We start from the raw sequence: 26,773 nt of genomic DNA on the forward strand, positions 1-26,773 counted from the left end.
CTAGTAGCTGGGATTACAGGCATCTGCCACCACACCCAGCTAATTTTTCTATTTTTAGTAGAGACAGGGTTTCACCATGTTGGCCAGGATGGTCTCAATCTCTTGACCTCATGATCCACCCACCTCGGCCTCCCAAAGTGCTAGGATTACAGGTGTGAGCCACCGCACCCAGCCCTGTCTTTTTATTTCTAGTCCTCTGGATGGTATGCAGTGGTGTCTCATTGTGGTTTCCATCTGCTTTTCCCTGGTAGATAATGATGTTGAGCACGTTTCATGTACTTATTGGCAGTTTTTATATCTTCTTTGGATAAATGCCTGTTCAGTTTCTTTGCTGATTTTTAAAAAATTAATAGACTTTTTTTTTTTTTTGTGGGGGACAGCGTTTTGCTCTGTCACCAAGCAACCCTCCCACCTCTCAGCCTCCTGAGTAGCTGGGACTGCAGGTGTGCACCACCATGCCTGGCTAGTTTTTGTGCTTTTTGTAGAGACGGGGTCTTGCCATGTTGCCCAGGCTGGTCTGGAACTCCTGGGCTCAAGCCATCTGCCCATCTTGGCCTCCCAGAGTGCTGAGATTACAGGCATGAGCCACTGCATCTGGCCTAGACTTTATTTTCAGAGCAGTTTTAGATTTACTGAAAAATTGAGCAGAAAGTAGAGAGAGTTTCCATATACCACCCGCCCTCACTGTTTCCCCTATTTGTAACGTCTTACATTCGTGTGGTACGTTTGTGACAAGCGATCAAGCAATGCTGGTACCTTATTATTGACTGAAGTCCATCATTTCTTTAGGGCTCACACTTGGTGTTGCACACTGTATGGGTTCGGACAAAGGTATCATGTCCTGTATCCCCCATCACAGTATCTCACAGAATAGTTTTACTGCCCTAAAACCCTCTGTGCTCTGCTTCTTCATCCCTCCTACCTCCTCAGCCCCAACTTCTGGCAACACTGATCTTTTTGCTGTCTCCATGGTTTTGCCTTATCTAGAAAGTCATATAGCTGGAATCCTACAGCATATAGCCTTTATGGACTGGCTTCTTTCACTTAGCAAGGAAGTTAGGCTTCTTCCATGACTTTGTGTGGCTTGACAGCTTGTTTCTTTTCATTGCTGAGTGATATTCCTCCGTCTGGGTGTGCCAGAGTTTGTTTATCCATTCACCTACTAAAAGACATCTTGGTCACTTCTAGTTTTTGCCAATTAGAATAAAACTGCTGTAAACGTCCATGTGCAGGTTTGCGTGTGGACATAAGTCTTCAACTCATTTGAGTAAATACTCAGGAGCACAATTGCTGGATCATATGGTGAGAGTATTTTTAGTCCCGTAAGAATCCGCCACACCATTTTCCAAAGTGGCTGTACCATTTCGCATTCCCACCTAGAACAAGTGAGCGTTGCCGGGACTCCACATCCTCATTAGCGCAGCGTTGCCGTGTTTTGGATTTTAGCCATCTTGTAGCCATATCATGTTATCTTATTGTTCTAATTTGCATTTCCCTGAGGACACGTGATGTGGAGCATCTTTTCACAGGCTTATTTGCCATCTCTATATCTTTTTTGGTGAGGTACCCTGATCATTTGCCCAGTTTTTTATTGCGTTGTTTCCTTATCTTTGAATTTCAAAAGTTCTTTGTATGTTTTGGATCCAAGCCCTTTCCCAGTTATCTTTTTTTGCAAATATTTTCTCCCAGTCTGTAGCCTGCCTTTTCATTTTTTTAAAACTTTGCTCATTTTGAAATTGTGTCATCTTTTTATTAATGAGTTGTGAGGCTTATTTATATTTTCCAGGTACAAGACCCTTATCAAATATATGATTTGCAAGTATCTTCTCACATTCTTTGAGTTGTCTTTTTACTTTTTTTCAGTAGAGACAGGGTTTTGCTATGTTGCCCAGGCTGATCTCGAACTCCTGGGCTCAAGTGGTCCTCCCACTTTGGCCTCCAAAGTGCTAGGATTACAGGCATGAGCCACTGTGCCCTGCTGGTTTTTTAAAATAATACTTTATTTATGGTATACTTTGCATGACAAAAATTTTTAATTTTGATGGAGTCCGATTTCTCTATTTTTTCTCTTGTCACTTGTGCTTTTGGTGCCACATCTAAGAAGGCTTTGCAGACTGTTCCACCTTAAATAATAAAATTTACATGTGGAACTTTTATCCTTGCAGTCACATGTCTGATGCTCACTTTGCTTTGATTTTGAAGAAAATGAGCAAGTTGATCAGACAGTGTATGTTTGGAGTTCACCTCCCCTATTTATGTTTCTTTGTTTTTTAAACAGAGCTTGTGCGGAGGCCTGGGCTAGGGGAGGGTACGCAGCTGAAAAGGAGGAGAGACAGCAGTGGGAGAGCAGGGAGCGGAAGAAGATCACAGACAGCATTGAAGCCTTGGCCATGATCAAGCAGCGGGCAGAGGAGAGGAAAAGACAGAGAGAGAGTCAAGAGAGAGGTATGCGCTCGGCCGAAGACAACAGCCCCAGAGTTCCTTTGAGATTAGGCAAGTCTAAGCTCTCAAACCCAGTCTTTAATCTTGGGAATTTTTTTTTTTTTTTTTTTTTTTTTTTAGACAGAGTCTTGCTCTGTCACTGAGGTTGCAAAGTTGGAGTGCAGCAGTGTGATCTTGGCTCACTGCAACTTCTGTCTCCCGGGTTCAAGCAATTCTCGTGCCTCAGCCTCCCCAGAGCTGGGATTATGGGCACGTACCACCATGCCTGGCTAGTTTTTGTATTTTTAGTAGAGATGGGATTTCGCCATGTTGTCCAGGCTCGTCTCGAACTCCTGGCTTCAAGTGATCTGCCTGCCTTGGCTTCCCAAAGTGCTGGGATTACAGGCGTGAGCCACTGTGCCCAGCCTTGGATTTTCTTTTTTTCTTTTTTTTTTTTTTTTTTTTGGTTGGGACAGGATCTTACTCTGTTGCCCAGGCTAGAGTGCAGTGGCACAATCTTGGCTCACTGCAACCTCTGCCTCAAGTGATCCTCTCACCTCAGCTTCCTAAGTGGCTGGGACTACAGGTGTGCACCACCATGCTTAGCTAATTAAAAAAAAGAATTTCTGTAGAGATGGGGTCTTACTATGTTGCCCACGCTGGTCTCAAACTCCTGGGCTCAAGTGCTCCACCCACCTTGGCTTCCCAAAGTGCTGGGATTATAGGCATGAGCTGCTGCACCTGGCCAGGGATTTTTTTAAAACCATTTCCTCACAACCTGCAGATCCATCTGCAGTTGGCCTCACCTACCTGCCAGCACCAGTGAGAACCTCAAACAGTGATGAGCTGTTTCAAACCACTTTTACTGATTGGAACAGTTTTTCAAAATAAATGATGTATTAGTTTTCTGCGGCTGCTGAAAGTAGGAAAACTCAAATAGGTTGTTTTCTTCTCCCACACTCTCAACACTCAGCACACTTGTGGTCACGCAATGTGCAGGGTGTCCCCACACCCACCAATTCTCTGACACCAGCCGGCTGTCCTGCAATTCATTTCCATCCTGACACTAACCGCACAAGTGATGGGCAATGGTCTCGCAAGATGACTCTCCACTTCCAATGCCAACCGCGAGTCTCAGGGTGTCGCCTGTACTTCTAACAGAATGGCTATAAAATTAGGGTTCCCATGACCCTCTCTTTGGGTTTGATAATTTGCTATGATGGCTCACAGAACTCCAGAGAACACTTATATTTTCTGGGTTATTATATTAATAAAGGATAAAATAAGGGATGCAGATGAACAGCAAGATGAAGTGGAGCTTAGGGAAGGGTCTGTGGGAAGGGGCGGAGCTTCATACCCTCTCTGGCCACACCCCGCTCCAGGTAACTCCAGTGTTCAGCAACTTGGAAGCTCTCTGAACCCCACAGTTTAGGGGGTTTTCCAGAAGCTCCAGCACGTGGGCATGATGGATGATTAGCTCCATTTCCAGCCCCTCTGCCCTCTCTGAAGCCCCAGCTGAAAGCTCCAAGCCTCTTATCATGGCTTGGTCTCTGTGCTCCAGAAGCCACCCCACCCCCAAGAGCCGCCCCATTCGAACAAAAGATGTGCCTGTCACTCTGGATGCAGGTCTTAGGAGCTCTGTGTCAGGAAACTGGGGTTGAAGACCAAATATTAGAACAAAAGAGCCTCCTAGCACCCCTATGTACAGGGGTTTTAGGAGCTCTGTTTCAGAGATCTATGTATCTTGTAATTTCACAGCTGCCACAACAAATTACCACAAAATTAGTGGCTTAAAAGAATACAAATCTGGCCGGGTGTGGTGGCTCATGCCTGTAATCCCAGCACTTTGGGAGGCTGAGGCGGGTGGATCACCTGAGGTAAGGAGTTGGAGACCAGCCTGAACAACATGGAGAAACCCCGTCTCTACTAAAAATAGAAAAAATTAGCTGGGCGTGGTGGCACAAGCCTATAATCCCAGCTACTTGGGAGGCTGAGGCAGGAGAATTGCTTGAACCTGGGAGGCAGAGGTTGCAGCGAGCCGAGATCGCACCATCGCACTCCAGCCTGGGCGACAAGAGCGAAACTCCATCTCAAAAAAAAAAAAACCCCACAAATCTGTTTTACCCTATTGCAGTTCTGTGGGTCAGAAGCCCAAAATGGGTTTCACTGAGCTAAAATCGAGGTGTCTCAGGGTTGTGTACCTTCTGGGGGCCCCAGGGGAGAACCCGCTTCCTTGCCTTTCTCACCTCCTAGAGGCCGCCTGCGTTCCCTGGCTCGTGGCCCCTTCTTCCAACTTCCATGCCAGCAGTGTGGCATCTTCCAGCCTCATTCTGACTCTGACGCTCCTGCCTCCCTATTCTGAGGGCTCTTGTGATTCTTTTGAACCTGCCTGGATAACCCAGGACAATTTCCTGATCTCAGGGTTCTAGATCCTAATCACATCTGCACAGTTCCTTTGTCCGTGTAAGGTAACGTATTCATATTCTGACATTAAGGTGTGAACACCTTTGACTAATATTTTTATTTTTATTTTTTAGAGACAGGGCCTTGCTATGTTGGCCAAGCTGGTCTCGAACTCCTGGCCTCAAGCAGTCCTCCCGCCTCGGCCTCCCAAAGTGCTGGGATTACAGACGTGAGCCACTGCACCTGGCCACACATACATTTTTATATAAAAATGGCAGAAATATGTTGCTTCCTGTCTAGTCTTTTGAATTAGCATACTATAACTATTTTCCATACAATAGACATTTTCTTACTGCATATATTGTCTTTTCCTAACTTTTTGTTTTGAAATGTTAAAAATTTTCAGAAAAGCTGAAAGAATAGTAAAACGGATAGCTGTATGTCTGCATTTATTAATAGATTCTGTGGTTTTTCATAATTTGCTACACATTTGCCACATACACACACACACACACACACACACACACACTTTGCTTTTCCCCTGAACCATTTGAAGATAAAGGCAAACGTCACAGCCCTTAAACCCCCAGTGCTTCAGCGTGCATCTCCTAAGAACTGCCTGCATTCTATTTTCTTGATAGCTGTGACCTGTTCCATTAAAGGGCTGTGCTTGGCAGTGCCTTCCGTAGGCATTTGGCTCCCATTATTATCCATTATAAACAACACTAATGAACATCCCTCAAGGATACTTTTTTTTTTTTTTTTTTTTTTTTTTTTAGAGAGTCTCACTTCATCACCCAGACTACAATGCGGTGACTCACTGCAACCTCTGTCTCCTGGGTTCAAGCGCTTCTCCTGCCTCAGTCTCTCTAGTAGCTGGGATTATAGGCATGTGCCACCCCGCCCAGCTATTATTATTTTTTTGTATTTTTTTTTCACTAGAGATGAGGTTTCACCATGTTTGTCAGGCTGGTTTTGAACTCCTGATGTCAAATGATCCACCTGCCTGGGCCTCCCAAAATGCTGGGATTACAAGCATGAGCTACCATGCCCAGCGCCTCGAGGACACTTTTTAAACTATGTTCCTTATTTATTTATAATTTTTTTTGGAGACAGAGTCTCGCTCTGTCTCCCAGGCTGGAGTGCAGTGGCGCGATCTTGGCTCACTGCAGCCTCCACCTCCCAGGTTCAAGCGATTCTCCTGCCTCAGCCTCTTGAGTAGCTGGGGCTACAGGCACGTGCCACCACATCCGAGTAATTTTTTGTATTTTTAGTGGAGATGGGGTTTCGTCATGTTGGCCAGCCTGGTTTTGAACTCCTGGCCTCAAGTGATCCACCCTCCTCGGCCTCCCAAAGTGCTGGGATTACAGGCACGAGCCACCGCGCCCAGCCCCTTGAGGACACTTTTTTAACTGTGTTCCTGACCTTTTCCCTGGTCTCAGAAGTTTGCTGTGAGCCCTTGATGTACCCACAAACACCCTTGTCCTCCCAGGACACTCCCACATTCACCTTTGCATTTTCTGCCATTAGGGGAGATGACATCTTCAGATGATGGTGAGAATGTGCCCGCCAGTGCGGAAGGCAAGGAGGAGCCTCCCGGGGACAGAGAAACAAGGCAGAAGATGGAGCTATTTGTTAAGGAAAGCTTTGAGGCCAAGGACGAGCTCTGCCCGGAAAAGCCAAGTGGAGAGGAGCCGCCTGTGGAGGCTAAAAGAGAGGATGGAGGTCCAGAGCCAGAGGGGACCCTCCCAGCTGAGACCCTGCTACTGTCGTCACCTGTGGAGGTTAAAGGAGAGGACGGAGATGGAGAGCCAGAGGGGACCCTCCCAGCTGAGGCCCCACCACCCCCGCCACCTGTGGAGGTTAAAGGAGAGGATGGAGATCAAGAGCCAGAGGGGACCCTCCCAGCTGAGACCCTGCTACTGTCACCGCCTGTGAAGGTTAAAGGAGAGGATGGAGATCGAGAGCCAGAGGGGACCCTCCCAGCTGAGGCCCCACCACCACCGCCCCTGGGAGCTGCCAGGGAAGGTAATGTGAGCGGAGAAACACACACAGACACACACACCTCTCAGGGAGCCCCAGCCTTCGACTCACGTCTCTGTGGGACCTGGGGCCTGAGTTTCACTTCTTCTGTATTGCTGTTTCTAGAAGATAATGGACACTAGTTATCTTGTTTTCTAGAACAGGGCTGCCCAACAGAAATGGAACAGGAGCCACTACTAGATTCTCTAATAGCTCTATTTAAAAAAGCAAAAGGAACTTTGGGAGGCCAAGGCAGAAGGACTGATTGAGGCCAGGAGTTTCAGACCAGCCTCAGAAATACAGAGACCTCATCCCTACCAAAACTACAAAAATTAGCTGGGAATTGTGGTGTGCCCCTGTAGTCCCAGCTACTCAGGAGGCTGAGGCAAGAGGATTGCTTGAGCCCCAGAGGTTGAGGCTGCAGTGAGCCAAGATTGTGCCACTGCACTCCAGCCTGGGTGACAGAGTGAGACCCTCCCTCAAAAAATAAATTGATTAATAAATTAATTAAAAAGTAAAAAGTAAAAAAACAGTAAAACTATTAATGACATGTTTAATTTAACGCAATATATAAAAAATATAATCATGTTAACATGGAATCAATATAAAAATTATCAGTGAGCTATTTTACTTTTTTCAAAAATTAAGTCATCAAAATCCAGTATGTATTTGACATGGCTGAACGGTAACTTTTTACTGGTGAAAGGTAGGCCATTCATCTCTGACATAAACGAAGCCCCGAGAGCAATGGAGGGATCAGAGCACAGGACCCAAGGATACAGCCCGGGGGAAAAGTAGGGGCAGGCCTTGCGAGGTGGCTCACACATGTAATCCCAGCACTGTGGGAGGCCGAGGCAGGCAGATTGCTTGAGGCCGGGAGTTCGAGACCAGCCTGGCCAACATAGTGAGAAGCCCCCTTCCCCGCAACCCCCAAGCCTCTACAAAAAACAATAAATTAGCTGGGCATAGTGGTGACCACTTGTAGTCCCAGCTACTTGGGAGGCTGAGGTGGGAGGGGAAGGGGATGGGAGGTCGAGGCTGCAGTGAGCTGAGATTGCACCACTGCACTCCAGCCGGGGTGACAGAGTGAGACCCTGTATCAACAAAATAAAAATAAGTAAATAAAAAGGAAAAGTAGGGGCCTGGATGAGGAAGGGGCTCCTCGCGATTCCACATTCCTCAGGCGATCTCACAGTTATGAAACTGCACAAGCTCTGACCCTGGTGCAGCAGGAGGGGCGTGTGCCTGGCTGAGGGACAGGCTGGCGGTGGGCTGTGAAGCCTGCCCCTCCGTCTCTGAGCGAGTCGCCCCTGCTGGCATCCCTTGTCACCCTGCAGTCGGCTGCCATTTCCAAGATTCCTGCGGCTGCTGCTTTGACTCCTGGCCGGTGCTCTTCATCTCATGGGATTCGCCTCCAGATTACAGAAAAGGGCAGCCGTTCCGTTCTTTTTCCAGCAGACAGAAGCCTGTGGTGAGCTGCCGTGTTTGTCATGGAGGCTGGCCTTTGGGCCCTGAGGAGGGTTTTTGTCTTTTTTTTTTTTTTTTGAGATGAAGTCTCGCTCTATCACCCAGGCTGGAGTGCAGTGGCACAATCTCGGCTCATTGCAACCTCCCTCTCCCAGGTTCAAGCTATTCTCCTGCCTCAGCCTCCCAAGTAGCTGAGACTACAGGTGCCCGCCACCACACCTGGCTAATTTTTGCATTTTTAATAGACACGGGGGTTTCACTGTGTTGGCCAGGCTGGACTCAAACTTCTGACCTTGTGATCCGCCCACCTTGGCCCCCCAAAGTGTTGGGATTACAGGCATGAGCCACCGAGCCCGGCCCTTGGGAGCCCATCTTCACCGTAGGCTCGTCCATCTGCCTGCCGTGTGTTAAACTAACTCCAAGACTTGTTGTTGCTCTTTAGAACCGACTCCCCAGGCTGTGGCCACTGAGGGTGTATTCGTTACAGAACTTGATGGAACGAGAACGGAAGATTTAGAAACCATTAGACTGGAGACAAAGGAGACATTCTGCATTGATGTACATGAAGTATTTAATCTTGGAGATAAGTATCAGTTTTACTGTTAGTAAAATAGGTAATCAGATGCAGACTTTGGAGACCCTCGATACCCCAAGTGTGGTCCTTGGGCCGGCAGGCCTGGCATTTCTGGGGCGCTGGTTAGAAATGCAGACTCCCAGGCCTCACCCCAGGCCCACTGATTAGAATCCAACTTTCATGCACTGCCCTAGGTGATTCGTGCACATGCATGCTCAAGTTTGGGGAGCCCTGACCCAAATCGCTACCCTTGAACCATGTCTACCAAACTCTTGATTCCTTTTTGCCAAAGAAGCTATCTTGCTAAGTGGTTCTGACTAGTTGCCTTATCCAAATTCGTGGTGAGAGTTACATTGTATCATCAGTTACATTGTATCTTTATACATTGTATCTTTTCCCCCCTCCGTGGACACCGCCCAGCAGGTAGCTTAGGCTCTCACTGGCCTTCTGGCTCATGGAGGTGTGACGGTTCAGTGTCCCATCCCCTTGAGTGAATGTTTGATCGCAGCCTTGCCTGTCACTCTTCCCTGAAGCTCTTCCCATTTTGTTGACAGTCTCAAATGCTTAGGCCCACAAGAATGGTACCATGGGAATTCACACATTGTCTCACAACCCCCCAAGAACTGTCCTTTGATGGGGCACGAATAGGAGAGGCATTTCTGGGTACCTCTGACCTTATACCTTGGAGAGGTGGTCCCCTGCCCACTTCCTTGTTAAACTTCTTCTAAACTGGTGTTTCTAATGTTCAAACTTCAGAATTTCACATGGCCCAGTAGGAGTTAAAGTGATCGGCCAGGCATGGTGGCTTACGCCTGTAATCCCAGCACTTTGGGAGGCCGAGGTGGCTGGATCACGAGGTCAGGAGATCGAGACCATCCTGGCTAACATGGTGAAAACCCATCTCTACTAAAAATAGAAAAAAATTAGCCAGGTGTGGTGATGGGCACCTGTAGTCCCAGCTACTTGGGAGGCTGAGGCAGGAGAATGGCAGGAACCTGGGAGGTGGAGCTTGCAGTGAGCCGAGATCACGCCACTGCACTCCAACCTGGGCGACAGAGCGAGACTCCATCTCAAAAAAGAAAAAAAGAGTTAAAGTGATCACGGTCAGAATTCACAGTGGGTTTCTAGTTTTCTGGAGCTATGTAAAAAAAAGAAACAAAGGCCAGGTGTGGAGGCTTACACCTGTAATCCCAGCACTTTGGGAGGCCAAGGTGGGTGGATCACATGAAGTCAGGAGTTTGAGACCAGCCTGGCCAACATGGTGAAACCCCATCTCTACTAAAAATACAAAAACATAAAAAATAAAAAAAATAAAATTAGCTGGGCGTGGTGGCAGGTGCCTATAATCCCAGCTACTCGGGAGGCTGAGGCAGGAGAACTGCTTGAACCTGGGAGGCGGAGGTTGCAGTGAGCCAAGATCTCACCACTGCACTCCAGCCTGGGCAACACAGCGAGACTCTGTCTCAAAAAAAAGAAAAAGAAAGGGACATAATTGGGCAATTTATCTCTCACATTTGAGAACTGACCATATAGATAACTACAACACTAATAGCTAATGTTAATTGGTTTCTTATTATATGGGTGACACCATTCTAAGCATGACTTGTATTGATTGATGTAACCCTTCCTACAACTCTAAGCAGTACATACTATTATCATCCCAATTTCCCAGATGAGGAAAATGAGAAACAGAGAGGTTAGGCAACTTGCCCAAAGCCAGACAGCTAGAAAATGGTGGTGGGGGAGTAACAACCTAGGCACCGTGGCTCCAGTTCATGCATCCAACCACACACTATGCTGCCTCCCCAACCACGCACTGGTTGTTATGGACAAAGATACCGAACAAACACCCACAATACAAAACAAAAAAGTCCTACAAGTTTTGGGGAGGTACAAAATATATTACTTTTATACCACATAGAGTTTTCGGACTAGTTTGTACAGAGGTGCATTTGGTTTGGGTCCCATTATTTCCCCCAAGATGAACTGGCTGTGTCTCTTAATAAAAAAGCAGAAAAAAGATGTGGAAATTCTTTAAACACGTCACACCTTGCAAGTTCCCTTTCATTTATTAGATCCAGACACCTGAGGTGGCAACGCTTGCTTTGTGTGTATCTAGAGTTCCTTTTGGTGGGGAACAGGCAGGCGAGTCACCTGAGTGATTTGAGTAACTGTAACTAAGGCTGGGTTGACTGCGTGTTTGCCTTTATCGTGCCTATCAGAACGTTGACAGTGCGTGTACCTCCCTGGTGATGTGCGGCTCACTTGCTCTTTCAGGACCTACCTGACTTGGAAGATGATGATGAAACAGGCAAATCTCTGGAAGACCAGGTTAAGGTCATTAGAAACCATTTTCCCACAGGCAGCTTAATTCCACCTTCGTTCTTGTCGTTTACCGTTTCTCTCCTAAACTTGAAAGTAAAATGTTCCCTGTGCATAAAGCATTGAATTCCCCCATATTCTTTTTCTTTTCTTTTCTTTTCAGGCAGAGTCTGGCTCTGTCACCCAGGCTGCAGTGCAATAGTGTGTTCTTGGCTCACTGCAACCTCCACCTCCTGGGTTCAAGCAATTCTCCTGTCTCAGCCTCCCAAGTAGCTGGGATTACAGGCATGAGCCACCACGCCCAGCTAATTTTTGTATTTTTAGTAGAGATGGGGTTTCTCCATGTTGGCCAGGCTGGTCTCGAACTCCTGACCTCAAGTGATCCACCCGCCTCAGCCTCCCAAAGTGCTGGGATTACAGGCGTGAGCCACCGCACCCAGCCCACATCCCCCATATTTTCACCTTGCTGAAGGAAATGCCATTTGTTCTTGTTCAATTTCTTTAAGATTTTATGATGAACCACTTGAAAATCTATTGCTGGTTTGTAACAGCTGAGTACAGTGCATAGTTAGCTGAAAGTACTTTCTGTCATTAAGATGTATTTCTATGTCCATCCTATGAATGTCTGTCTGAATATAGGGGAAGGAAATGAAAACAGGAGAGGGGAAAGAAAGGGGTGAGTCTGTGAGGCACAATGGGGAATTCTCTCAGAGTGACGTGACCCTACTCCACCCAGAGGCCATTACTGGCATTACCAGGAGCCCACACGTGCCAGACCCGTACCCTGAGGGAGAAGGAGGCATCAGCCATCATCTCTGAGCACGAGCTCAGCAGCAAAGAAAACAGACACAGTTACTGTGGGGGGCCTGCTGTCCAAGGAGCTAAGTCCCAGAGAGTCTGTGAAGGAAACGGGGTTCAGGGGCATGCCAAGCAGAGCCCAGGGCTCAGGGGTGCGCCCTCTCAGGTACCAGGAGGGTGAGGAATAGCCAGTGGCTGGGGGAGCAGAGGGCAGAGAGAAGGGCATAGACATGAGCTGTGCCCAGGGAGTGGCCACCCCCAGGCCTAACTTTCAGAGTCCTGTGTTCCCTTGGGCCTTTCTTGGATGTGGCAACAGAATACTTTGTGACATTGGGTGAAAAAGCAGAACTGGCATGGTGCATTGTAGAGCGATTCTGTTGTGAAAACAGAAACTTTCAGACACCTTTTCTTCTGTAAATAGAATATGTGCTTTCCGAAGATTGAGGTCATCTCGAGCTTGAGTGATGACAGTGACCCTGAACTGGACTACACGTCACTCCCTGTGCTGGAAAACCTCCCCACAGACACTCTGTCAAATATATTTGCAGTCTCTAAAGACACCTCAAAGGCGGCTCGGGTGCCCTTCACAGACATCTTTAAAAAAGAAGCTAAGAGGGACTTGGAAATCCGAAAACAAGACACCAAGTCCCCAAGACCCCTGATCCAGGAGCTCAGCGACGAGGACCCCTCTGGCCAGCTACTGATGCCCCCCACCTGCCAAAGAGATGCTGCACCACTCACTTCCAGTGGAGACAGGGACAGCGACTTCCTTGCAGCCTCTTCTCCGGGTAAGAGCGTGGGGCCGAGAGCACAGTGGAGACAATGTTGGCTCCCCGGCCTGGGATGGGTGGGGCAGGGCAGTCACTCAGCCTTACCCTGAGCTTTCATGTTGCTGGAGGGGTCACCCAGGACAGACCACACAGATCCTCTGAAGGTCCCATTCCTGAGTTCACGGGTCTGAAGCTGCCACTTGCTGGTAGCCAGCCTGGGCCAGGAAGCCACCGAGCCAGCCTCCTCTTGGGCAGCCGAGTCTGACTGTGTGTGGGGGTCACAATCCCCCTGTGGTCATGCAGATCTCCTGGGGCGGGGGCCTAATGACCGTGCATTTCCACCCCCTCCTCACCATCCCTGGCCTCAGCCTTTCTAGACCAGGGCTTTTGGAGGGGACCACCAACACCACTGCTGGGGAGTGTGGGGCAAGCGAGGTGACAGCCACACAAGGGCGTGGCTGCTTCACAGTGACCCAGGCCCGGGTGAATCACAGGCCAGTCCTAGTGGCCTTCAAGGCAGGGAAGGCAAAGGGGCAAAGGGGCACCAGGCAGGGACGGCAGCCAGAGGCCTGGCTGCAGAAGACCCAGAAAAACATGCTGAATGTACCGGGGCCTCCCCTCATACTGCAGGCTGGTACATGTGCCTGGCAGATGCGGTTTTGGGGAGCAGCCGGTTAGTGCTGAGAACAAGCAAGCTGGGACTGTTTTTTCATTCAGCATCTGCCTTCAGGTGCACTCCCAAATTGGGGGCTGTGTGGAGCCCAGACCGTGCTACTCTCATCCAGCACGCATCGGTGGCCAGGCTTTTTCCTGAAGACAGCTGCCTGGCTGACTCCAGACTTGCAGGCAGGAAGCAGGGAGTGGCCTGAGTGCATTTCCCGGGAACACTGAGTGGCCTTCTCTTCCACTCTAGGAACCAGCACAGAAAAGTGCAGTCTGAGCTGGAGCCCGTGCAGCCTCGGGCGGGGGCAGGCCTGGAGGACGTTGAATAATTTGTTTTTGTTTGTTTTGTTTGAGACAGTCTCGCACTGTGGCCTAGGCTGGAATGCAGTCATGTGATCTTGGCTCACTGCAACCTCTGCCTCCTAGGTTCAAGCAATTCTCCTGCCTCCGCCTCTGAAGTAGCTGGGATTACAGGCACCCGTCAAGGGATTTTCCTGCCTCAGCCTCCCCAGTAGCTGGTATTATAGGGGCCTGCCACCACGCCCAGCTAATCTTTGTATTTTTAGTAGAGATGGGGTTTCACCATGTTGACCAGGCTGGTCTCGAACTCCTGACCTCAGGTGATCTGTTTGCCTCGGCCTCCCAAAGTGCTGGGATTACAGGTATGAGCCACCACGCCCAGTTGAGGACACTGAATTTGGCCTGGACTGAACCCCAAGGCTGCCCCCCTGTCCTTGCAGTCACAGTGACAGGGAGAAAGCACAGGTCACCCTTCCTTCCACAGTGCCGACTGAGAGCGCCGCCACACCCCCAGAGACGTGTGTCGGAGTTGCCCAGCCCAGCCAAGCTCTGCCCACGTGGGACCTCACTGCATTCCCAGCACCGAAAGCATCATAGTTTTCCCCAGTTATATGTAGCATAAATGGTTTAATCATAAATGTCTCCCTTAGGCATGATAAACATTTTAACACCCACGCGAGTCAGTGTATGATTGGGCTAGCTCCTGTTTGTGTGAGTCACATGCAATTCCTTTCACCAGCCAACCTGAAAAAAGACCTTTCTCTTACTATGTCATCAGAAACCAGACAGACCCGGGTCCCTGCAAAATCTCAAGTGAGCATTTTCCCCACAGGAAAACAGAATCTTCCACTGCAGCTAGAGAAACTCCGAGGAAGAGGGACTTGATGCTTTAGACATCAAAATGAGAAGGGGAGGGAGGAAAGAAAGGGGGGAGTCTGTGAGGCACAACAGAGAATTCCCCCAAACTGACATGACCGTGACCCTCTGCTCAGAGGGCACTATCGACAGCCCACAGGTGCCAGACCCATGTCCCAAGGGAGAAGGAACATCAGCCATCATCTCTCTGCATGAGCTCAGTGTCAGGTAGTAGCTGTGGCGGGACGCTGTCCAGCCTAAAAAACGTGACCATTCCAATTCATCTTCAGCTGCCAAGTGTATTTAGTCCCTGAACCTGGATCCAAGGCATCTCCCTGTAGGAAACATCAGACCGGGGCAGAGATTGACAAAGCAACCCACAACAGCAGCTGCCAACGGCCGCTGTGCCCACCTCATCAGCAGCTCTGCAGGGGCCTCACTCCACCCTCACCAAACACGAGGAGCCAGCACTCCTGGCCCCCATTCCACTGGACAGGAAGGCGTGAGAACTGAGGGACCTGCCTGAGGCCCCCACAGCTGAGGCGCAGCGGAGCCCTGCCTCCCAGCACAGACTAAAATCCCAGCAACACAGGCCCACCGGCACCTCCAGCCTGCCTTGCGGGATGATCTTCAGGCGAATATACAAAATACAAAAGAAACTACTACTGTATTTTGTTGCCCTGTCCCTTCAACTTGGCTCCAAATTGCTTGGCTCATCATCACAGTGGCCTCCAGAAGGTGGCGAGCTCTGCTTCTCAAGTTTCAACTGTGGAAGGCACATCTGGTCCCAGAGGAAGGATGAGGGGCTCTCTGGGGCTTGAGGGCAGCCCACCTTGTGTCCTCAGAAGCCCATTCGAGGCTTCTTCCGGAGGGGCTGAGAGCTAGAGAGGACGGGTGTGTGCTGCTGGGAGCGAGTGGCCCGGACGCTGGAGGCCTGGGAGTGGGGAGGTGTGGTGGCACAGCCTGGGGTGTCCCTCTGGGGTGGTAGCTTGGCCATGTAGTCACGGAGCATCTGCCGCTGCTCTGATGGGACGCCCTGGGCGCATGCATCCGGAGTCAACTCCTGGGAGGGCGGGGTCGTGGGGGGCAGGGGCAGAGCATCAGCAGGTGGCCACTCAGGGCTATGAGGGGAGCTGGTGTCCTCTGAGGGATCCACATGGCCACTGAGCGAAAAGCTGCTGGACAGCTGGGTCCGGCGCTTGGGCCGCCTGGTCTGTCTCCCGGGCTCCGAGGTCCTGCCCTGCTGCCTCTCCCACCAGGCAGCCCCTCGGCCTGCCCAGGCTTCCCCCAGGCGCTCACTGAGCTTGTCCTCTAGGCCTGACTCGGGTGCAGGGGGTGGCTCTGCCGCAGGGAGGGAGCCCAGGTCTCTCTGCAGCAGGAGCTGCCCTCGGGCCATGGCCTTGCGGAGCACACCCAGCCGCTGCCCTTCCTCTTCCTCCCTCCGCAGCTCTGTGCTGCCCAGCATCTGGCGGTGGGTGAAGGTGGGTGCTGTCCACACAGGAGGAGCCAGGGGCACTTTTAGCAGGGCCTTCAGCCACTGGCTGCAGCCGGCAGTGTCCTGGGAGGTCCAGGAAGCTGTGGGGGCATGGCAGTCAGGTTGGGTGTCGCCAGGAGGCCCAGCATCTCTGCGGAGGCTGGAGTCCACCTGGGGGCGGAGCTGCTGGTAGAAGACATCTCCCGCCGCCGAGAGCTGGAAGAGCACCAGGCCTGGTGTGGGCGCTGAGGGCAAGGGCGGGACGACGGCAGCCAGACCTGGTGACGGGAATGACAATGACCTCCAGGGCCTAGCGGGGGGAGGGGATGTTTTCCACTGCGCCCCCCAAGCTCACTCCCCCACCCAGCACACCTATGGTCGGTGCTTTCAGGCGCTCCTGCAGCCGCCACTGGATCTTAGGCTCCAGCAGAGGAAATGCAGGGAGGGAGTCGATCCTGGAAGGAAGAGACTGGGGGGGGCCTGCCAGGCGGGGCACCGACGCCCCTTCTCCTGAGGAAGGACAGACAGCTGAGGCCCTGTCCAGGCCCCGACCGCCCCATCTCCCACACGCCGCCCACCCTGGCCTGGACCCTCACCTGCCAGGTGCAGCAGCTGCAGCTGCCCACCCTGGCCTCCGAGGAGCAGGGGCTGCACGCAGCTGGGCCGGGGCGGAGGCAGCAGTCGGGCCAGCAGGAGCGGGGAGGGGAGGCCATGGTTCCACTTCAGCATCGGCACCAGGGGAAGGCGCTCGTCCACTAGGTAGAGAGAGAACTGGGGCCCGAGAAGGAAGGGGGATGTGGCCGAACTTGGGAGCTGAGCTGTGTAGTGGCCCTCCAGGCCCCATGTGGCTCTCCAGGTGAGTGCAGAGCCCTGAGGGGCAGCAGCATCTCCCATCAGCCTCCACGTGCCTCTCAGACTTCACCTGCCAGCCCTGAACAGGTGCCGCTTCCTTCACCAATTCTGACCGACAGTCCGGTGGACAGACAGAACAAGTGGGAAAGGGGTGCTCAGAAGAGGTGTGGGGGAGCCTTGCCAGCAGAAACCTGCCTGGCCTTCTCGCAGCCACCCCCACTCTCCTGACCCGGGAGCCTGTGCTCGAGGCACGCCTACGAATGTCCCCGGGAGGGCGGGTGGAGGACAGACCTGCTTCCTCAGAGCCCCCGCCTCCTGCACAGCAGAAACTCTCCAGCTCTGCACGGAAGCCCCACCCCGAGGCCCCTCCTCCCCTGCTCCACCCCTGGCTGCACCTCGAAGCTCTACTAAGGGGAGGCCCTGGGAGAGCTTCCCCACCTGCCTGTTAGCACCGACTGTGGGATCCACTGCGTGTTTGGGCCACAGATTCATCCAGGGTTGAGTTTGGTTTGCTGGGTGGTTGTCTGGGCCCAGCAGAGCCGCTGGTAAGCAGCAGCCTCTAGTGACCATCTGAGACAGAGCAGAGGTGGGGCGGGGCGGTGTTGTGTGCCACTCACCTGGGTACAGACGAGATGAAGAGTAGGGGGGAGGCATTTGGGGCTGGAGTGCCCCAGGTACTGGGTAAGCAGGACACGTTCCCCTTTCTGGCACGAAGCCTCTGCCCCCAAACGAAAAAGCAACAGACCACAGCCCGGCGGGCCCTGGAAGATAAACACAGGGTCAGCCCTCCCCACAGTCCCAGGCCGGTGACGCTGTCCTCGCCCAGGCCGCAGCCAGCCTGGGACTCACCGCTCTGCGGCCGCTCCCGCAGTCGGGGTGGGTCCTCTGCCGCCAGCCCGTACCTGAGTGTCCAGCATCTTCACTCCGGTGCGGTCACCCACGGTCAGCACCCGAGGGTGCGCAGTGAAGTCTGCCCAACGCCACGAAGAGGAGTCCCGGAACACGAGGGTCTCAGGGTCCCTGTAGATTTGCCGCAGCCTTGGGGAGACAGGCAAGCCGTGGGCAGGGGGACAGGCTGATGGGGAAGGGGCTCAAGGGTCGCGACATGCTCAACAGGGCGGAGTTCAGTTCGTTAGGGTGGGGGGTTTCACAGGAAGCGGCGATACCCATCCTCAGGGCTCCACAGGCAGACGGCTCCCGAGCGGCTGCAGATGGCCAGCTCCCCGGGCAGGTGAGGGCTACAGGGCAGGAATGCATTCACATCGGGCTGCTCAGCCCTGCCTCCAGCCCCTCCTCACCGACCAACCTGACCCCCCTCACCTGAGGCTGATCCCCGTGGCCCCTTTCTCCACCTGCATTGCCTGCAGAAGGGTTGGCTGCCACTGTTTACCAAACTTCCACACGGCACAGTGGTAGTCAGAGCGGACGGCCAGCAGAGCTGAGGAGGGATGGAAAGGGCCAGGGGTCAGGTAGCAGGTCAGCCAGTGAGGGAGGAAAGTGTATATAAGGGCCTTACTTTCTCCCTGGACGGTGCATGTCACCACTTGCCGGACAGGTCCCTGGAGCTGGATGCGTCCAGGTTTCCCAAGGAATTGGGGATTGTCACCTGGGGTCAGAACGACCTCTTGGAAATCTGGGCCTCTCACTAAGGATCAGTGCACGAGCTATGATCACTGCAAGCCCCCCAAATTCCTGCCCTTCTCTGGACCATGCCAAGAGCACCTCCTCTACCAGAGGCGAGCCCGCTGGAATCTCCTGTCTCGCAAGAAAGGATACGCAGCCTGTCCTGGGCGCCTCCAGCAGGGTAGACCAGCTGCCCGAACTGGGGTGTCCTTCCAGGAACCCAGGCCAGCGCGCCCCCAGTGCAGGCCTCATCCAGAAGCAGCTGCTCCCACCGCAGCACCAGCTCCTCGTGCAGCAGCTCTGCCAAGTGGCTCGCCACCGACGTGCCCAGGATGGGGCCCCCGAGGATAGAGAAGCGGCGCTGTCGGTTGCTGAGGTAAGCCCAGGGACACCTGGGGACCAGAGAACAGCAGGAGGATCACTCGGTGGCACTCAGGGGAGGACAGGTCCCATCCCAAGGAGGCCAAGTGCAGTGGACACATTTCTTATTTACCTAGAATTTCTTCCTTTGGGAGACCACCCCATCCTGTTCCCATGCCCCGGAAGCAATCATGTGACCCAGACCTGGCCACCAACAATATTCCATTGCCCTTGCCACAGTGACTGGTTCACAGATGGGTGTGAGACCCAAGCCAAGCCAACCAAAGTCCTTTCTGGGACTTCTGGTGCCGCAGGAAGGACACTGGCTCTTTCCTTAGATCATAAGCCATCTTGCTGCTACCTAGAGACAGCCTGTCTAGGGAACTGTGCAGGGAGAGGCAAGTGGACGAGACAGGAAAGAGAGACACAGCTCTATGAACATTATTTGAACACCTGGATGCAGCTGTGCCTGAACTCCACAAATGTAAATCTGCTTTCCCCTGAGATGATTTGGAGTTGGAAGTCTGGTATAAGAAAGTACAGCTCAGACTGCATGGAGCAGGGGGGAAGTGGGTATGACGGAAAGCTGTACGTGCGTCCTAGCACCTCCTACATCCCCACCACCAGCTATGCCTATCCATCTCCTCCTTTCTCATCAGCCACTTGCCCCCAGGGCTGGTGTCCACCGAGGTCCTGGAGCAGCTTCTTCACACTGACCACTGTCTTCTTCTTAGTGCGGCTCTGCATGGAAAGGCCTTGTCAGGCTCACACACCCTCGAGTTCACCCCTGAAGGACAGCAGGGAGTCCCCACCCCTGGAGTCACGGGCCACTCACCCCCGCTCCCTCCAGCTTGAAATTCTCCAGCATCAGCTTCCCCAGGGGCGCAAAGGCTACGTCTCCATGATCCAAGAGGAACCGGCTGATCTGGGGAGAAGAGGAGGCCAGGTCACTAAGCACAGTCTCCAGGCTACGCAGCACTGTCCCCCGTGGGCCCACTCACCTGCTCAGTCACATCCAGCACGACTCGGGGCCGCTTCCGATACCGGCACCCTCCGCGGAAAAGCAGGTCCCGGGCAGTCAGGCCAGGGTCCCAGGGATCTGAGAAGGAGGTTACGGAAAGGGCTGGGGAGGGCACAGGAGTGCGGCCAGATGCCCTGGGCGACTGGAGGTATCCAAGGGTCCTGAGCAGGCACAGGCTTAGCAGGGAGAGGAAGGTCTCAGGAGCGGGAGCAGTGGGAAGAATAGGTGGAGCAGTGTGGAGTGAGCCCGGGGGAATGAGACCCTTACCGATGAGGGGAGGCAGCATGGGGAGAGGCCCAGGGGTTGCCGGCTCCCACAGCAGGTCCTTGGTCACATGCAGTGCCCCATTCTGAAGGGAGGACAATCGCAAGGACAGTATCATGATGAATGCCCTCCCTGGGCCAGGCTGTGCACAGGCATTCATCTCTTATCAACTCATCCAATCCTCACAACAATCCTGCGAAGCTGGGATGACTGGCATTGTCATTTTACTGCTGAAGAAACTGAGGCACACTGCCATTTGCCCCAGAAGACAGAGCCGGTAAAGAGAAGAGCTGGGATGTGAACCCAGGCAGCCTGACCCCAGAGCTCCTGTTTCCGACCTCCACCTGTGCTGGCTCTCAAAGAAGGAAGCCCCTCATGCCACCAGTGGCTGGTCCACATCTCACGTAACCTCACTTCCATTCAGGAGACCTTGCAGTCACTCTGGGAGCCCGGCAGGCGGCTCCACCTCCCTTTGCTGGGCTGGCCTGGGATGTTTCGGCCCAGACATTCAGGGGACAAAAGAGCTAGGAAACCAGACTCCCAGAGGAGCCCCAATTTGACGCCAGACCCTCCCTCGTAAGGATGCCATCCCTGACCCCCGTTCCCCAAGCCTCTGCTCCACTGTCTCTCTTTTTATTTGCTCACCCACTTGCCTCTGCCAGGCTTCATTCCCAGACAGGGTGTTTCCAAGGGGAACTAGGCGGCTGAGGATTCCAAGCAAAGGGCCAGTGTCCCTCCAGAGGCAGCAGAAACCCTGCAGGTCTATCCTCCCCTCTCCCAACCCTACTATGCTGTTTCAGCATCCTTCTGCTTTCATTCCAAGCTCTGATCACATTTTGTAAACACCTTATCCATTGGATAAAGTTCACTTGTTTATTCTCGCTCAACTCAGCTCTCCGTTCCAGGAAGGGAGGGGTCAACCGACTGATTCAGGCAGCATTCTCACGGTCTCATAAGGGACCCGGCATAGTGGGGGCATCCGTCTAGGGATGGCAGGGTAGCCCATGTACCCCAGAGGAGGTGGCAGAGCCTGTGTCTCAGCAGACTCGTGTGAATGCCACCACTCTGTGGCCTTGTCAACTGATGTGAATGTGAGACGGGGGACCCAGGGAAGGGATGTCCCTGGAGCTGCCAGGGCCCCCTGCCTGCATCCTCACCTCTGAGTTCTGGGGCTGGGCCTCTGGCAGAGTCAGTGCGTCTCGCCAGCTGCACATGAAAGAGAGGTCAGGGACGTCGCTCAGACCAAGGGGGCCGGTCAGAAACAATGCAGGGCGGAGGGAGCTGGGGAAGTCCATCCTGGAAACAAGGACCAAGCACCACACTGGCCACCTCGAGAGACTGGAAGCTGGTAAGGGGCGCCAGAGTTCCTGAGGAGTGAAAAGTGCACTACGGGAAGCATATGTTCTTTGAGGAAGCAGATAACAAAAAACAAATATGTAGCCCAAGGCCAAGCAGTAGTGAGAACTGTATTAAAGCCAACCACCCGTCCAGGAGAAGGGGATCTGGTAGTGGGCTGAGGGCGTGGTTTCAGCAAAGCCAGCCAGGAAAAGCCTCGTTGAGAAGGTGGCGTTTGAGCACAGCCTGAACCTAGTGAAGGAGAGAACCATGTACGCAACTGGGAAGAGGGTTCCAGGCCGAACGGTCAACAACTGTGAAAATCCTAGAGCAGTGAAGTGTGTGAGAAAATGAGGCAGCCAGAGTGAGCGAGGTGGAGAGCGGTGGAGATGGAGTCAGAAAGACGGCAAGGGGCAGCCTCTCTCCCGGCTCGTAAGTACCGTCATCATACATTTACAGACTACACCCCCAAGACGCTCAAGTTACTCCACAGCCAGGGACTGCATCTGAGCATCGTCTTCCTACTGTCAAGCACAGTGCCTCCCAGAAAATGCACTAGGGGTTGAAAAAAATAAATTTCTATCACAAGGGGCCGGGCGCGGTGGCTCACGCCGGTAATCCTAGTACTTTGGGAGGCCGAGGCAGGCGGATCACCTGAGGTCGGGAGTTCGAGACTGGCCTGACCAATGTGGAGAAACCCGGTCTCTACTAAAAATACAAAATTAGCCGGGCGTGGTGACGCATGCCTGTAATCCCAGCTACTCGGGAGGCTGAGGCAGGAGAATTCCTTGAAGCCGGGAGGCGGAGGTTGCGGTGAGCTGAGATCGCGCCATTGCACTGTAGCCTGGGCAACAAGAGCGAAACTCCATCTCAAGAAAAAAAAAAATTACATCACAAGGCTTTGGTAAATACAGTCCTCTAGAAGTATGAGCAGCCATAGCATCCCTCCTTTTTAATTAACAAAAATAACAGGGGCAAAAATAACAGCAGCGCTCGCTGACCAAGCGCCAGCATCTATCTGCCAGGCACATGCTAAATGCTGCACTCTTCTATCGCCGTCCCTGTTAACAGAGTTCAGGAAACGAAGGCTCAGCAAGAACTTTAGTCCAACAGCTCTTAGCTGCCACAGCCAAGACTTGATTCCCATCCGATTCAGAGGCAGAGCTCCGAACCAGTGCTCTCGCATGCACCGAAATGCAAACGCTAGCATTAGAGTCTCGCTATACAAAAATCTTTTCCCTTTGGCCGGGTGCGGTGGCTCCCGCCTGCAATCCCAGCACTTTGGGAGGCCAAGGCGGGCGGATCACCTGAGGCCAGAAGTTTGAGACCAGTCCGGCCAATACAGTGAAACCCTGTCAATACTAAAAATACAAAAATTAGCCGGGCGTGGTGGTGTACACCTGTAATCGCAACTACCGAGGAGGCTGGGCACGAAAATCGCTTGAATCTGGGAGGCAGAGGTTGCAGTGAGCCAAGATCATGCCACAGCACTCCAGCCTGGGTGACAGAGCAAGGTTCTATCTCAAAAATAAAATAGAAACAAAAATATTTTCTCTTGGAACCGCATAGCCTGAAACGATCCTAGACAGGCGGAGGGCGCTGGTGGAGAGCACGACCCCACAAAAGCCCTCAGACAAGGCAGCCTCGACTTCCCCGGCCGGCTTCCCGCCCTCGCTGCGGGCTCTCCAGGACCCTTTAGACCTCCAAGGCTACAGAACTCAGTCGGATCCGCAATAACGACAGGCCGGGGACTGCGAAACGTGAGCCTGCCGCGGGGACTGGGGATTGGGGGCGTCCCTCCCCTCCTACATCTGCGGGTCCGCTCCTCGAACACGCGCAGTCCGCGCGGAGGGGGCGCATGCGTGCACTTACGTGACCCCGGCCTCGTCGTGGTCGTCTGGAAAATGGGCCTCGGCGTGATGCTCGCCGGACCCTGGCACCACGAGGGAAATCTCAAGTAGAACCCCAGCTTTGGCACTCGGGACGGGTCAGCCCCGCCGCAGCTACCCACGGTCTTCCGGTTTGGACCGGAAGTGCCTCCTGCGGAGGCAGGAAGTCCCGCCTCCCAGCCAGGCCTCTTAGGGTCCTGGCGCGCCCCCTCCCGGGAGGAGAGGGAACGGGCGTGCAGGCGGCGCGTGGGCAGCGGAAATAAAGCTCCCTTGAGTCCCAATAGTGGAGGCCGGGTGGACTTAGGTTCGAATCCCACATCTACTTCACCAATTTCCTCAGAGTTGTATTAAATTAATCATTTAACGAACTCCCACAGAACACCTACTATAAGCCAGACCTGTATTGGTCAGTAGGTATCCTACTGATTGTCCTTAAATCCCAAGAAGCGGGCTTTACAAATAAGGGTACAAATACCTACTAAGAGTGAAGCTTTTCCAGGGGTGGTCAGGCAGGGAGAGCTTTAGGCAGTGGTCTTCAAACTCTAGCTAGCGTGCGTCAGCAGTAGCACCTGGGGGGCTAGTTAAAACACAGTCTCCAATTCGGTGAGTCTGGGGTGGGACCTGATGATTTGCCTAAGTTCCCAGGTGATGCTGAAACTGCTTATCTGGGGGCCATGCTTTAAGAACCACTGTCCAGTCATGAACCTTACCGTTATCCTAACATAGTACTTCTCAAACTTCAGTGAGCCTTAGAACCACCTGGGGGGCTTGTTACAAGTTTGCTAGGCTCCACCCTACCTCTGCCCCCCGAGTTGCTGATTCAGTAGATCTGGGATGTGGCCCAAGAGTCTGCATTTCTAGCAAGTTCCCAGATGATGCTGGTCCAGGGGCCATACTTTGAGAACCGTTGCTTTAAAGAATCAATTTCCAAATTCTCAGCTGTCATCTATGTCTTTATTTATTTTTTTGAGATGGAGGCTAGAGTGCAGTGGCACGATCTTGGCACACTGCAACCTCCGCCTCTTGGGTTCAAGCAATTCTTCTGCCTCAGCCTCCCGAGTAGCTGGGATTACAGGCCTGCGCCACCATGCCCGGCTAATTTTTGTATTTTTAGTAGAGACGGGGTTTCACCATGTTGGTCAGGCTGAGTCTTGAACTCCTGACCTCAAGTGATCCGCCTGCCTAGGCCTCCCAAATTGCTGGGATTACAGGATGAGCCACCACGCCTGGCCTATATTGTTTTTATCTGGAAGTTTTTACCTGGACTAAAAGTGCCAGCAGGGCTGTGTTCCTTTTGAGAGGCTCTAAGGAAGAGTCCACTATCTTGTCTTTTCTGGCTTCTGGAAGCTGCCTGCATTCCTTGGCTCATGACCCCTTTCCATCTTCAAAGCCAGCAATGCCAGTCGGATTCTTCTCATGAGGCCATCTCTCTGGTTTTTACTCTTCTGTCTCCCTCTTTCCCATGTAAGGACCCATGTGATTATAGTAGGCCCGCCCAGGTAATCCAGGATAATCTCCCTATTTTATTTGTTTTATTTATTTTTTTGAGACAGGGTCTCACTCTGTCGCCCAGGCTAGGGTGCAGTGGTACCATCATGGCTCATTGCAGCCTCAACTTCCCAGGCTGAGATGATTCTCCCACCTCAGTCTCTCGAGTAGCTGGGATTACATGCAAGCACCACCATGCCTGGCTAATTTTCTTTTTTTTTTTTTATTTTGAGACAGAGTTTCACTCTGTCACCCAGGCTGGAGTGCAGTGGCGTGATCTTGGCTCACTACAACCTCCACCTTCCAGGTTCAAACGATTTTCCTGCCTCAGCCTCCCGAGTAGCTGAGACTACAGGTGCCTGCCACCACACCCAGCTAATTTTTGTATTTGTAGTAGGGACGGGGTTTCACCATATTGGCCAGGCTGGTCTTGAACTCCTGACCATGTGATCCACCCGCCTTGGCCTCCCAAAGTGCTGGGATTACAGGCATGAGCCACCACGCCCGGCCTAATTTTTGTAGTTTTTGTAGAGATGGGATTTCATCATGTTGCCCAAGTTGGTCTCTAACTCCTGGGCTCAAGCTACCTTCCCACCTGGGCCTCCCAAAGTGCTGGGGTTACAGGTGAGAGCCCTATTTTAAAGGCAGCTGATTAGCAACCTTACTTCCACCTGCAACCTTAATGCCCCCTTGCCAAATAATATACTCATAGGTTCTGGGGATTAGGCTGTAGACATCTTTGGGGGAACCATTATTTTGCCTACCACACTAATATTCTACATTACCCTTGTAAAACGCCTATCCAGCTTTGGCACTGCGAGGCCAGTTCCATTTCTTCCTTTCCTCCTTTCTCTGAATAAGCCATTATCAATTTGCTTTTGTAACTGACATATACTCAACATGCAGTAAAGCACACGAGTCTTAAATGTACAGCTCATTGAATTTTTATTCATACATAGAAACCCACATGAACACCACCCAGATCAAGACAGAGAACATTTCTATCACTCAAGAAAGTTCCAGCCAGGCACAGTGGCTCATGCCTATAATTCCAGCACTTTGGGAGGCCGAGGTGGGAGGGTTGCTTGAGTCCAGGAGTTCAAGACCAGACTGGTCAACAGAGCAAAACCCCCATCTCTACAAAATTTTTTTCTAAAAAGAAAATTCCCTGGTGCCACTTCCCAGTCAATACTTCCTTCAAGAAGGAACCACTATTTGGACTCTTATCACCACAGATTAGTTTTGCCAGTTCAAGAACTTTACATAAGTGGAATCATGGAGAGGATGTGTCTGGCTTCTTCCACGCCATGTGCCTAATAGATTCACCTGTGTTGTGTACGCAGCTGTTGTTTCCTTTTTAAATTAGTGAGTCGTGTTCCATTGTATGAATATACCATTGATTTGTTCACGCAACCTCCTGTTGGTGAGCGTTTGGGGCGTTACTGGGTTTGATGACTTTGTGGAAGTCTCTCTGTGGATATGTGCAGCCCTCAGTCCATTTCTGGACATCTGCTGTGCTGTCCCTTCACTCTCCTGGGCCTCATCCCACTCTCTGGGCTGCACACACACACAAAATGGAATTGTTCTTCCTGATGTCAATTCTTGACATGTTGGGGAGGCTGACTACCCAGCCCACCACACCTGCTTCTTCCAAGTCAAAGGTTCTGGGAGGACTCCACCACCTGGTCCTCATATGCCCCAGCATCCTCACTGTCACAATCCTGGAGAGAGCTGCCAGGCCCAGCTTCAGCAGCAGCAGCAGCAAGCACTGTGACAAATCTTACAGACACTGGTCATGCTTTCCCAAGTTAGTGGCTACTGTAAGACTCCGTTAAACTTGCAGCCTCCTTCAAGCAAATACGCGTTGCATCA

General features: G+C 52.3%; 2 protein-coding genes across 26 annotated transcripts in view, besides 2 other annotated features; one reads left to right on the top strand and one right to left on the bottom strand.

The window, feature by feature from the left end:
• The window catches only part of DNAAF1 (dynein axonemal assembly factor 1), a 32,613-nt gene extending 18,197 nt beyond the window's left edge, over nucleotides 1-14,416 (top strand). For 3 of the 13 annotated variants that reach the window (XM_011522853.4, XM_017022919.2, XM_017022920.3), the window contains 7 exons: nucleotides 2,279-2,493; nucleotides 6,355-6,852; nucleotides 8,756-8,871; nucleotides 11,165-11,218; nucleotides 12,429-12,795; nucleotides 14,010-14,102; nucleotides 14,225-14,416. In XM_011522853.4, the coding sequence (XP_011521155.1) occupies nucleotides 2,279-2,493; nucleotides 6,355-6,852; nucleotides 8,756-8,871; nucleotides 11,165-11,218; nucleotides 12,429-12,795; nucleotides 14,010-14,102; nucleotides 14,225-14,337 (1,456 nt within the window). In that variant the 3' untranslated portion in view covers nucleotides 14,338-14,416. Of the gene's footprint in view, nucleotides 1-2,278; nucleotides 2,494-6,354; nucleotides 6,853-8,755; nucleotides 8,872-11,164; nucleotides 11,225-11,848; nucleotides 12,796-14,009; nucleotides 14,103-14,224 lie in introns of those variants that run through there. The other 10 variants (XM_011522855.4, NM_001318756.1, XM_017022918.3 and 7 more) reach the window with 9 other exon arrangements.
• TAF1C (TATA-box binding protein associated factor, RNA polymerase I subunit C) lies at nucleotides 14,351-23,553 on the bottom strand. 13 transcript variants are annotated; one of them, XM_006721326.4, is made up of 16 exons: nucleotides 23,397-23,553; nucleotides 21,976-22,079; nucleotides 21,347-21,485; nucleotides 20,193-20,274; nucleotides 19,906-20,003; nucleotides 19,740-19,829; nucleotides 19,572-19,645; nucleotides 18,698-18,936; nucleotides 18,438-18,554; nucleotides 18,242-18,359; nucleotides 18,088-18,159; nucleotides 17,824-17,959; nucleotides 17,539-17,682; nucleotides 16,666-16,840; nucleotides 16,442-16,579; nucleotides 14,351-16,347 (listed from the first exon to the last, which is right to left on the bottom strand). In XM_006721326.4, coding segments are annotated over exons 2-16 (2,535 nt in total). In that variant the 5' UTR covers nucleotides 21,978-22,079; nucleotides 23,397-23,553; the 3' UTR covers nucleotides 14,351-15,436. The 13 variants fall into 13 exon arrangements, with proteins under 13 accessions (XP_006721389.1, NP_647610.3, XP_016879336.1 ...); NM_139353.3 differs by lacking the exon at nucleotides 21,976-22,079 and having other exon boundaries at nucleotides 16,442-16,576; nucleotides 21,347-21,395; XM_017023847.2 differs by lacking the exon at nucleotides 21,976-22,079 and having other exon boundaries at nucleotides 21,347-21,395.
• Nucleotides 23,393-23,893: an enhancer, noted in NCBI's record as "H3K27ac hESC enhancer chr16:84220503-84221003 (GRCh37/hg19 assembly coordinates)". NCBI's record gives its function as "activates a minimal SCP1, AML or CMV promoter by ChIP-STARR-seq in primed H9 embryonic stem cells {active_cell/tissue: H9 hESC(primed)}" and the evidence as "EXISTENCE:reporter gene assay evidence [ECO:0000049][PMID:30033119]".
• Nucleotides 23,539-23,748: a silencer, noted in NCBI's record as "silent region_7781". NCBI's record gives its function as "represses an Ori minimal core promoter by ATAC-STARR-seq in GM12878 lymphoblastoid cells {active_cell/tissue: GM12878}" and the evidence as "EXISTENCE:reporter gene assay evidence [ECO:0000049][PMID:35858748]".

The sequence above is a fragment of the Homo sapiens genome, chromosome 16, assembly GCF_000001405.40.
Source record: "Homo sapiens chromosome 16, GRCh38.p14 Primary Assembly".
NCBI classification, from domain to species: domain Eukaryota; kingdom Metazoa; phylum Chordata; class Mammalia; order Primates; family Hominidae; genus Homo; species Homo sapiens.

Excerpts from the sequence above, each read along its gene's own strand:
- TAF1C (XM_006721325.4), bottom strand. Across the intron at positions 20,275-21,346 it reads CCCAGCCCCAGAACTCAGAG|AATGGGGCACTGCATGTGAC; the intron begins GTGAGGATGCAG and ends TCCTCCCTTCAG. Across the intron at positions 16,580-16,665 it reads GCAGCTGCTGCACCTGGCAG|GAGAAGGGGCGTCGGTGCCC; the intron begins GTGAGGGTCCAG and ends GTCCTTCCTCAG.